Genomic DNA, 12692 nt, shown 5'->3' on the forward strand with positions numbered 1-12692 from the left:
CATGAAATCACATTTATGAAATATGACAGCTCAATGAAATGCAAATATTAGGTTATTGTTAATAATCATATTTCATCACATCCAATTTTGGAATCTGGCATTCTTTCTCACAACTGCTATGATTTCCTGTAAGTACCCTATTATCAAAAACTTAAGGCCAAGCATGGTGGCTCATGCCTGTAATCCTAGCATTTTAAGAGGTCAAGGCAGGAGGATCACTTGATCCCTGGAGTTCAAGACCAGCCTGGACAACAGGGCAAGATTCCATCTCCACAAAAATTAGCTGGGCGTGGTGGCACATGCCTGTGATCCTAGCTACTCAGGAGGCTGAGGTGAGAGGATCACTTGAGCCCAGAAAGTTAAGGCTACAATGAGCCATGATTGCACCACTGCACTCTGGCTTAGGCAATGAAGCAAGACCGTGTCTCAAAAACAAACACAAACAAAAAATAAAGAAACAAAAACCTTTATGAAGCCATTCACACTTCCTGTTCTCCAATTTGTTTTCTCTCTTGAGAAAGGGAAACCATCAGCAGTATCGCCATTTCTACATAGATTAAGTTACAAATATAGTGGAATTTAATCAATAGATGGTCTTAGAAAAGTTACTTAAAACTTAAATGTAGGACTATGACTTCCTTTCAGTTACTCTTCTCAAACACGGATGGTGTCAATTCAACTTACCATTGGTTTTTTGTGTGAGTGCTTGAGCTTTCAGAAAACCTTCCGCAAAACCAGTTTTAAATGCATCTTGGTGAGCTTCAGGTATATTTTTGGTTTTCATGAGTTTGTCCAAACTCTCAACATCTGATCCTCTGTCCCGCAAAAGAAACCCCTGAATACACAAACAACACATCAGTACTGGTTAACAACACAGTGATACTTCCCAACAATATTGTGACCACTCAAAAAAATTCACTAAAATTCTGTATAATTTTTACTGTCAATGTGAAGAAACAGATTAAGACTCAGCAATGAATTAATCAATAACTAGGAAACTAACACTAGATCCCATTCCTGCATCAATCAATTAATAATATAAAGAAAGTGGCATTATTCTCTGCACGAACACTACACTGAAAACAGGTCACATATTATTTTAGGGTTTGATTGGCTTAATGTTCATATCCCTCTATCTTTGCTAGAGGAAAAAATCTCATTAATTTACTAAATGTCTACTAAGCACCGTTCATATACTTGGCCTTATATAAGTTCTGAAGATGTAAAGATAAATAAACCACTGATCTTAAAGTTTTCAGTCTACTGGAAAAAGATATATAAATAACTAAGTTTCTTAAATCATTTTGATATTATGTTAGAAGTATTATGTATGGTGGTAAATCAATGCTACCTCAGGAATATGGAAAAGGCCTTACAGAGAATAGGACATCTAAAACACAGGGAATAAACACTATGAACAATCTGACGGAGGCATGAATCAATAGCCTTCAGTGCTCAAGAACTGTAAGCAATCTTATATAAGACTTCAATGCCAAGAGAGGAGCAGGGAAACAGAGGGGCATATTGAATGGTGAGAAGAGAAACATGGCAGGTAGAGATCAAATGATGAAATTCCCAGTGTATCAGGTGGAGGTAAGCAATAAAGCAGAGTAATATAACTAGATCATTATTTTAGAAAGATTGATGGGTGGCAGTCTGGAGGCTGGACTGAACGCAGCAAGACTAGAGGCAAGGAGACTAAACAAGTATTCATTACAGTAATTTAGGCAACAAATAGTTATAGCCTATCTATGGCAGTGGAACAGATGTAAGAAATATTTAGGAGGTTGGATCAACAGGACTTTAGTGGTTAATGGATGTGGGAGGTAAGGCAACATGGACAAACGTAGGTTGATAGCCAGGTTTTTAGCTTGGGTGGATGCTGCTCATTAATACAGAGAACACCTCGACAGGTGTAGGTTTGTGGGAAAAAAATCTAGTAAGTGGAGAGGCAAGTCTGGTGCCCAGAAGAGTTAGAGGTATAATGATTACACAGGTTACTAATCCCTTATTATTAGTGGAAAGAAGGAAGAATATCTATCAGCCAACAAAAGAAATCAGATATTGAAGCTCCTCACTCTAACAACTTGAAAATATTTGCTTTTTGGATCATAAAAAGGTCTAATTACCTTCACGAATGATGGCGCTATATTCTGTGTTTCAGCTAATCTCTCGGAGGTAGACTGGAGACGTCGTGTCCTTGATTTCAAAGTTTTAAAACCCCGAGACTGTATGAAAACTAAATAAAACAATACCATTCACTGTCACTATAAATTGTTACAGGAAAAGAAAAATGCCTAAGATTCTAAAGTCTGACACCCTACCTGTATATCCTAGTCTATCTAATTTGCCTGACACTTCAATACGTTTTCCTTTGTTTCCTTCTTTTTTGTAGAGACGGGGTCTCCTTTTATTGCCCAGGCTGGCCTTGAACTCCTGGGCTCAAGCAGTCCTCTTGCCTCAGCCTCCCAAAGAGCTGGGATTAGGTCTGAGAACTTAAATCTATCATGCCCAGCTTATAGTTTTTTCTATCCTCCTTTTTTCAAAAGGAACTTTATTTATTTATTTATTTATTTATTTATTTATTTATTTATTTATTTGAGATGGAGTTTCACTCTTGTTGCCCAGGCTGGAGTGCAAGGCATTGCTGCTCACTGCAACCTCCGCCTCCTGGGTTCAAGCAACTATCCTGCCTCAGCCTCCTAACCTCAGGTGATCCACCTGCCTTGGCCTCCCACAGTGCTGGGATTATAGGCGTGAGCCACCGCGCCTGGCCTATTTTTTATGTTGATAGGGGATAAAGGTAAATAGAGAAGTCAGAGGGTTATACAATATAATTTAAAAAACTGAGTATCAACTCTGATAAACTGTGATTTCAAAAAAAAAAAAAAACCCAACCAAGTAATTAAAATAGATTGAATCTACACAACTGATTTTTACATGTTTTTGGTAATTACATAATGTTTTTGAAAAAAGGGTAAGTGTATCAAATTAGTGTCTTCTAATTTCTCAAGCCCCAATCCCACTTCCCAGAAGTATAACCTGTTAACAATTCTGACTACCCTTGTATGCATGCACACAGGTGCTCTTTCTATAAAAACTACTCTAGAAATAGTACCTAATTTTTTGCAATTTTCATTTTTCGTGCATATTTTTCAGAACAGAACAGTGCATTCAGTTTAATGGCTGTTTACACTTTTCCAATTTATCACAGTGCAATTCATTCAACCATTTCCCTGAACATTATTTGTTTTCTGGTTTTTATTGCTGGAAACAATACTGTGGTGAACATTCTTATATATGTATGTCAGCAGATGTAGACTGAATTCCTGAAAGAAACACTGTTAAGGTTTAAATTTTGTTTGACACTAAGAGACTACTTTCTAAAAAAGGCTGTTATCAATTTATGTGCCCACCAATGCTTATGAGTTTCCTTTTCTTCATATCCTTGCCGACACTAAATAATATGAATCTTTTAAATTTGTGCAAGTCTGACGGGCAAAAATAACAGTACCTTGTTTTACTTTGCATTTCCCAGATTACAAGTGTGGGAAAATTTTGAAAAGCTTCCTCTGTATTTTTATTGACTATTTTTATTTTTATTTCTTTAGTAAATTGACCATGCATGTCCTTTGCACATTTTTCCATTTTTATTTAGATAATATGGATGTTACAGATAGTAATCTTTAGTTATATATATTGTAAACATTTATTTTAATGTGTCTTTGTCTTTCGATCATATACAGTAATTTATTAGCTCAGTGCAGCCATACCTTTGCTGTGTTTTCTGCATTTTAACTTGATTAGAGTTTCATTGCCAAACTAAGATTTTAAAGGTAGTCTACTTACTTCTAATATTTTCAGTTTTATATTTTTGTTTTCAACCCTTTAACATATTTGGAACTTTTTTTTTTGGTATGATGTAAGAAAAGAACTTGATTTTTCCAAAACAGCCACTTAGGCTGATAACATTTGATAATCCATCATTTGCTTATTGATTCAAAATTCTTAATTTTGTTGCACTGATGTATGTCAGCACTAGGTTAAATTTTTTAATTTTAGTTATTTGTAATACTACACTACTGATTTCCATGGCTAAATATCTGTATTTTCATGTACTTAAGTAGGATAAAATCCCCTTCATTAGTATTCTTTTAACATGTACTCAGTTATTCCAAATTAAGTTTAAAATCAACTTCTCGATTTCCCAAGTGGGTCATTAGAGTTTTGATTGGGGTTGTATTGACTTTACAAATTTGGGTGTAAATTGATACTGTTGTAATACCTAGTTCTTCCAAATAGGATTATGGCCTTATTTTATTTCACTCAGTTCCTCTTTCATTTCCTTCAGTAAAGCTTCATACACACACGTGTGTATGTGTGTATATATCTATGTTGTATATTTCCTGTCAGGATAAAACATTTACTGGGTTTTAAAGAAATTGTAAATAAAACCTGCCGCTAGAATATAAGAAAGCTATTGATTTTTATGCATTTATCTGGTATGGACAATGCAGTGAACTCTTTATTTCAACAGCCTTTTGGATGATTTTCTTGAATTTTCTGGTAAACAATCGTTATCACCTGCAAATTATAATTTTACTCCTTCTTTTGACTTACATATGGCTCATTTCGTTTTCTTTTAAATCATATTGTTCAGAATCTCCAAATTAATGCTGAAAAAAAAACCAGGATACTCCATGTTTCTCAAATTAACAGGAACATAATAGATGTTTAATAAATTTTAAGTTTCCTTCCATTTCTAACTTTCTAAGAGTTTTCAGGAAGCACAGCAATTAAAATATATCATGTCTTTTTATCATACATTGAAATAATGATATTTTTCTTTTCTAATCAATATGATAAATTGACTTACTAATAATCTTAAATCACTTTTGTATTCCTTAATCATGATATAATATTTTTAGCACATTTCTAGATTTGCTTTCTTCAGATTTTATTTAGGATTTCTGTTAAGTGAAACACATCTATTTTGTTCCTCTGTCGTGCTTGCGTGTGTATATACATTCAGACACAGATACATACATATATACATATATATATTTTTTAGATAGGATCTTGCTGTCACTCAAGCTGAAGTACGGTGGCATGATCATAGCTCACTGTAACCTTGAACTTTGGGCTCAAGCAAACCTTTCACCTCAGCCTCCCAAGTATCCAGAACTACAGGGGCATGATACCACGACGGGCTAATTTTTGTTGCTGTTGTTGAGATGATGTCTGGGCTTGTTTTGAACTCCTGGCTTCAAGCGATCATCCCAAAGTGTTGGGATTACAGGTGTGATCCACAGTGCCTGGCCTTATGCTAATACTAAAAAGTTTTACTAACAGCAATCTCATGGAATAAATAGGGAACTCTATCTTTTTCTTTTTAATAAGGTTTTAAATTAAAAAGAAACTCAAGATTCTAGAAGAATGCAGCCATAAAAATTATCTGAACCTAGTGCCTCTGGGGCAAAGGGACAATATTTTTAAAATACTGTCTTTTAAACTTCATGGTTATTATCCTATCTCTTCTTGGGTTAACTTTGTTAATTAATTGCTTAGACAATTGTCCATTTCAACATATTTTTATTTTTGACATAAAGTTACACATACTACCTTGCAATTTTAAAACCTTCACATATCCATGGCAATTCCCACTCATACTTCTAATACTGTCTGTATTTTCCTGTTGTTTCTTAATCAGAATTGTTAAATTGTTCCTTTTTTTATACTAAATTTGTTTTTGGTTTAATTAAAACTATTTCCACCTATTATTTTAAAATGTTTGCTTTGTGTGTATTAATTTCTTCTATTATTTTTCAGAAATTCAATTTATTTTCTATCTTTATATCTTAAATTTTTTTTTCTTTTTGAGACAAAGTCTTGCTCTGTTGCCCAGGATGGAGGTGCCATCTTGGCTCACTGAAACTTCCATCTCCCAGGTTCAAGCGATTATCCTGCCTCAGCCTCCCGAGTAGCTGAGATTACAGGCATGTGCCACCACACCTGGCTAATTTTGTATTTCTTTTTTAGTGGAGAACGGGGTTTTACCATGTTGGCCATGCTGGTCTTGAACTCCCGACCTCAGGTGATCCACCTGACTCAGCCTCCCAAAGTGCTGGGATTACAGGCATAAGCCACTGCATCCAGCCTGATTTCTCAGTAAATTATATAACGCCCTCAATGTCATTTTGTCCTCACCAAGAGTCTGATATACAGATTTTCACTGTGGTTCATTACTGAGTGTCTGTAATCCCGGTTTTATTTCCATTCAGTCGTGAGACATTTAGAAAAGGGTTTTAAAAATTTCAAGTATTTAGGTTTTTTTTGTCTTTTTTGTTTTTTGAGACGGAGTCTCGCTCTGTTGCCAGGCTGGAGTTCAGTGGCGCGGTCTCGGCTCACTGCAACCTCCGCCTCCTGGGTTCAAGTGATTCTCCTGCCTCAGCCTCCCAAGTAGCTGGGATTACAGGCACACGCCACCATGCCTGGCTAATTTTTGTATTTTTAGTAGAGATGGGGTTTCACTATGTTGGCCAGGCTGGTCTTGAACTTCTGACCTTGTGATCCACCCTCCTCGGCCTACCAAAGTGCTGGGATTACAGGCATAAGCCACTGTGCCTGGCCGTATTTAGGTATTTTTTTAAGCTGTCTTTTCTGTTACTGGATTTTTATCTTTATTTTCTGACATTGAGAGAATCTAACCTCAGAGTTACAACATTAGGAAAATTTATTAAGATAGTTTTCATACCCTAGGTAACACACGCTCAGTTTTTATACATCTTCCAACAATAGCTAAAAACGTATCAGCTGTCTTCTTCTGTCTTCTGCATTAACTATTTCTTTAGAGGGTTATTAGTCTCTTTGCTGAAATTGGTGCCTCTCTTTTATGCTTTAAGTTTTCCTCAAATATGTGGATTCTTGGTAATCCATTTGTATTTATAAATAAGAATACAGTGATCAGGGCCTGGCACCGTGGCTCATGCTGTCATCCCAACACTTTAGAAGGCCAAGGCAGGCGGATCACCTAAGGTCAGGAGTTCTGAGACCAGCCCGGCCAACATGGTGAAACCCCGTCTCTACTAAAAATACAAAAATTAGCTGGGCCTGGTGGTGGGAACCTGTAATCCCAGCTCCTCAGGAGGCTGAGGCAGGAGAATTGCTTGAACCCAGGAAGTGCCACTGCACTCCAGCCTGGGTCACAAGAGGAAAACTCCATCTCAAAAACAAAACAAAACAAAACAAATACAGTCATCAGTATTGACTACAAATGGGTATCCTCAACACTAGCAAAAGTAAATATACTTAGAATATAAAACATGGACTATGCTAAATGAGCAGAATACTTTAGCGAATGTGTAATTCAAAACCAAAGTAATCTGGGGTGCTAGCTTCTTTCTTTCCTTGGCATCAATGCTCAAACCAGGAGTCTCCACAGACAGATGTCCCTCGACACACACACACACACACACACACACACACACACACACACACACACAGACGTCTTATTAGAAAGGTGTTTTTTGCTAATTTATCTAAAGGTTAAAGGCCATATCTGCACTGTGATTGGCCCATTTCTGGCAATCTTCAACTGTTTATTCCATCCCATCCCAGTGCCCAATTTTACTGGCTCTGGAAGTGGGGTTTTTCCTGAGTTCTACTACTGGAAACAGAAGTACTCACCTCTTTCATGACACCATTAGTCCCATGAAGGTAGAAAACATGTCTTTTTCATTTACAGTGATCACTATCACCTGACATCTATCACTAGTGCCTTGTATTCAAAAATTATATGAATAAATGCAAATTTGATTTTACTGTCAATTTGATGTCACTTATTTTACAACTTACTGAAAGCCCTCAAATTTCTCGTCCGTTAACGGAACGCTTCTGTTGTTGCTCTTTTTTTCTCATATATATATATATAAAATTAATTTCAATGGGCTTTTGAAAGTGAGGATGAGTAAGCAAATGTGGTTAGTCATTTATCTTGAAACAAGCGTAGATAAGTTCCCTGGAGTTTGATTTATTGTGGCACTATCACGCTCAAAATTTAGCTCCTATATATTTTCCAGATTAAAAATTATACAGAAGTACCCAAACTCATTAATTCCAAATACTCTTTAGGTCCTGTGAATTGCAAATGAATGTTTAGAATTAATACCATTAAGAAAGACAAATCAGACTATAGTAAATAAATATTTTTTTTTCCACAATTTATGGTTGTTGCTTCATACCTGGCCAGTACTGAAGATCTGAACAAATGCTTTGAAGAGCTCTTGAATGATGTCGATACAAGCAAGAGGAACGTAATGTACTAAATATATCTAAGTTACCTGGAGGGAAATTGCAAAAAGTAAATTTTCTAATTTCCAAACCAAAAAACAAAAATCCTATGAAATATAAATAATTCTATCAAATATTAGGGAAATCACAATATGAGTTTCAACTTTTATTTATCCATGATATGACTGCTTTTATGAAAGTATCTAAAGCATCGCTAATTTAACTACATCTCACAGTTCTTCCATTTACTAGCTATCACTTGTTGGTTACATTATTTTTATTTATTTATTGTTTTTTTGAGACGGAGTCCCGCTCTGTCGCCCAGGCTGGAGTGCAGTGGCACGACCTCGGCTCACCGCAAGCTCTGCCTCCCAGGTTCACGCCATTCTCCTGCCTCGGCCTCCCAAGTAGCTGGGACTACAGGCGCCCGCCACCATGCCCGGCTAATTTTTTGTATTTTTAGTAGAGACGGGGTTTCACTGTGTTAGCCAGGATGTGGTCTTGATCTCCTGACCTCCTGATCTGCCCACCTCGGCCTCCCAAAGTGCTGGGATTACAGGCGTGAGCCACTGTGCCCAGCCTACATTATCTTTTTTATCTGGCATACAAATGTAGCTAATGAAACTAAATTCAAATAAACAGTGATAAAAATGGCCTGGTGTGGTGGCTCACGCCTGTAATTCCAGCACTTTGGGAGGCAGAGGTGGGTGGATAACCTGAGGTTGGGAGTTTGAGAGCAGCCTGAGCAACATGGAGAAACCCCGTCTCTACTAAAAATACAAAATTAGCCGGGTGTGGTGGCACATGCCTGTAATCTCAGCTACTCAGGAGGCTGAGGCAGGAGAATCACTTGAACCCGGGAGGGAGAAGTTGTGGTGAGCTGAGATCGCGCCATTGCACTCCCGCCTGGGCAACAAGAGTGAAACTCAGTCTCAAAAACAAAACAAAACAAAACCAGTGATAAAAGATGTACTGTGTTTAAGGCCAGGCGCGGTGCCTCACGCCTGTAATCCCAGCACTTTGGGAGGCTGAGGCGGGCGGATCACGAGGTCAGGAGATACAGACCATCCTGGCTAACATGGTGAAACCTCGTCTCTACTAAAAATACAAAAATTAGCCGGGCGTGGTGGCGGATGCGTGTAGTCCCAGCTGCTCGGGAGGCTGAGGCAGGAGAATGGCGTGAACTGGGAAGGCAGAGCTTACAGTGAGCCGAGATTGCCCCACTGCACTCCAGCCTGGGCAACACAGCAAGACTCGTCTCTTTAAAAAAAAAAAAAAAAAGATGTACTGTGTTTAGGCTAAAATTACTTTTAGTTAAGAACATAAAGAGATAAAGAACTGCTGTTTCTTAGAGACAATTTCAAAAGCTCTAATGGTATAATAAAACACTGTGAATCATAGCTACTATTATCTTTCCCTCATAAAGCTTCCCTAGTCATTGGGTAAAAAGAAAGGTCAAGCCATGAATACTTCACTGATCCTTCCTAACTGCTTCTCTTGACTAGTGTGTCTCATCCTATTTTATATCCAAGATCCTAGGGAAAAGATCATCAGCAGCAACAGCAGAAACAAACAGTGGCTATCATCTATTTGTGTGTCTCAGTTAGAATTTAGGGACTTTTTTCAAGGTCCCTTAGCATCCAGTCAAAAAATCTCTTCCTAATACCTCTGCCTGCCTAAACCTAGCAAGCAGCTGGTGGTATGAGGAACAATCTTAAGAGTAAATGTAAATATGCAGACTAGAAGAGCAGTAGGAATAATCATAATAACATAGTAACAAAAAGAATTTTATTCTATTGAACACTTGGTATGGGCCAAATATTTTATAAGAAGGCAACTTTAGGCAGAGGCAAACTTTTAGTCTAAGCCCCCAAGCTCAAAACCATTTCATTTTTTCCTCACACTTACGGTTTTTTATGCCCTTACACTGAAATAAAGGCAAAGGAAGGGTCAAGAATTAATGAATTAAGTTTATGCAAAGGACAGCTTCAAATCAAACCTTCATTATAAACTAGTCAAACCTGCTATTTTGTTCCTGGATTTTTATGGCCTGTTTAAGTGCCATCCAAAGAAAAACTCATAAAGTTGACATCCCTTTTCAGACTAGTATGAACCCACTTATTATACTACCATACTGTTATGAGATTCAAGTAAAAAAAAATGTAGACATTCCACAAAAGGGATAACAACTGTTTTTTTAATCAATGTATTCTCAAAGATTAAGTATGTTTCCTGGAATTAAATGTGTGTCACCTAAAATTAAAACAAACAACGCCCCCCCATTCTGCTAAATGCAATGTGGTATGCTGGATCAGATCCTGGAAAAGAAAAAGGACACTTGCAGAGAACTAGTGATTTGGTGAAAACAAATTTTGTTGAAATTCAAATAGTCTGTAGTTTAGTTAAAAATAAGGTACCAATGTTAGGCCTGCACGGTGGCTCACGCCTATAATCCCAGCACTTTGGGAGGCTGAGGAGGGTGGATCACGAGGTCAGGAGATCAAGATCATCCTGGCTAACACGGTGAAACCCCATCTCTACTAAAAATACAAAAAATTAGCCGGGCGTGGTGGCGGGCGCCTGTAGTCCCAGCTACTTGGGAGGCCGAGGCAAGAGAATGGTGTGAACCCGGGAGGCGGAGCTTGCAGTGAGCGGAGATTGTGCCACTGCACTCCAGCCTGGCTGACAGAAGGAGACTCCGTCTCAAAAAAAAAATTATTGTACCAATGTTAATTTCCTAGTTTTAACAAATGTAACATGATTATGTAAGATGCCAAAATTAGTGGAAGCAAAATTCTGTACTATCTTTGCAACTTTCCTGTAAATCTGGTACTATTTCAATATGAAAAATTGCAAAAAAAAAAACAAAAAAAAAACACTTCAGGAAAGAACCCAGCCCACAATAAACGCTACTGTGAAAGCTAAGAAATGGTATCTATAATTATTAATAGTGCTAAAATATTTAATTGGAACAAAAAACACATTAACATACCATATTTATTTTCAAAGAAGGATTGTGCAGAGACATGGGATGTATGCCAATGGGAAGAAATGTTTTTGCCTTTACAAAATCCAGGAAGTAGATTTTCTACCAGCTGATCAATCTGTCCAATTTTTAGTTCAGATAATCCAAGGTCCCTTAAGTTAAGTGAAGGCTGTAAAAGATTGGGTCAACCAGGTATGCATTAATATTATCAAGATATTTAACCTAAGGAGTACATATTATCAGTTAAAACAATCAGATTTTAAAAGTCTAACAAATATATTTCCTTTTTTTAATATTTAAAAATAAATTGATGCAAATATTTTCACAGTTCGTTTTACTGAGATCAGTCATATGAGGTTTGACATAGGTTAAAAAATTATATTCCTAATGGTATCCTTAAATAAAGAGATGACATTTCAGCATGAATGAGAAAAACTTTTTTTTTTTTTAAATCAAACCCAAACCACTACTGTCCTAAGCATTATGGTTCACAGAATCAAGTGAAATGTATGGCATTTTTTCCTTCTCTCCATACAAGGGTACTCTGATCAAGAGCTAGTCTATCAACTATTGATCAAGCATTTATAATGACAAGAGTGTAAGAGTAACTAACTGCAGGGTTACAAAGTATGTTATATAAGGTCCAGGGGATTTTCCCCAACAGTGTAGAACTGATTGGAGGATAATAGTAAGGTTCTTGAATTGGGGAAATTCCATTCAAATGATAATCCTCACCAGTCCATGGAGCTTTTAAGCCCCTAAGCAGCCATAAACAAAAGCCCACTTGACAAAGAAATGGTATGCTTGGTTACCATAGGACATCTCACTCCTCTGGCCTCATTGCTTAGATCCTTCCTTGAACTCAGAGGTTCTAAAGTTACCCATATCTTCTAATAAAGAAGAAAATTAAAGTCAAAACTGTGTGAAAATCAGGCAAAAAAGTCTAAAAATCACAAAAATGTGTGTATACCCACTTTTAAACAACAGGATAGGGATTATTTTCTTGTCCACATGAGCTGAAAGAGAGGCACTTAAAGGCAAGTAACAATTACATGTTACTCAAACCCAAAACAGCTAAGGTGGGAAGATCGTTTGAGGCCAGGAGTTTGAGACCAGCCTGAGCAACATGGTAAGACATCATCTTGATGAAAAATTTAAAAATTAGCTGGGCATGGTGGTATGCACCCGCAGCACCAGCTACTCAGGAGAAATGTTTGAGCCCAGGAGCTGGAGGTTGCAGTGAGCTATGACAGCATCACTGCACTTCAGCCTGGGCTACAAAGGGGAGACCCTGTCTCTAAAAATAAAGTTTTTTTTAAAAGAGGCATGGACACGGATTATATAGCTCTGGACTGATGTCTGGGAATACGGTACTTTTTAAATTAGCTATAACTCATATTCTTAGAATTCATTTTCT

At 37.2% G+C, this 12692-nt stretch overlaps 1 protein-coding gene across 4 annotated transcripts in view, besides 1 other annotated feature; it reads right to left on the minus strand.

Annotated features, from left to right (window-relative positions):
* Positions 1-12692, minus strand: part of YME1L1 (YME1 like 1 ATPase) — a 44274-nt gene that overhangs the window by 24036 nt on the left and 7546 nt on the right. For 2 of the 4 annotated variants that reach the window (NM_014263.4, NM_139312.3), the window contains 4 exons: positions 11282-11444; positions 8241-8339; positions 2130-2239; positions 685-835 (listed from right to left, as the gene is read on the minus strand). In NM_014263.4, coding sequence (NP_055078.1) covers positions 685-835; positions 2130-2239; positions 8241-8339; positions 11282-11444 — 523 coding nt within the window. The remainder of the gene's footprint in view (positions 1-684; positions 836-2129; positions 2240-8240; positions 8340-11281; positions 11445-12692) is intronic. The other 2 variants (NM_001253866.2, XM_011519300.4) reach the window with 1 other exon arrangement.
* Positions 1330-1499: an enhancer, noted in NCBI's record as "experimental_11825 CRE fragment used in MPRA reporter constructs". NCBI's record gives its function as "activates a minimal promoter by MPRAs in K562 erythroleukemia cells, with activity observed for both the introgressed and non-introgressed 10:27424490 variant alleles {active_cell/tissue: K562}" and the evidence as "EXISTENCE:reporter gene assay evidence [ECO:0000049][PMID:34662402]".

The sequence above is a fragment of the Homo sapiens genome, chromosome 10 (genome assembly GCF_000001405.40).
Source record: "Homo sapiens chromosome 10, GRCh38.p14 Primary Assembly".
NCBI classification, from domain to species: domain Eukaryota; kingdom Metazoa; phylum Chordata; class Mammalia; order Primates; family Hominidae; genus Homo; species Homo sapiens.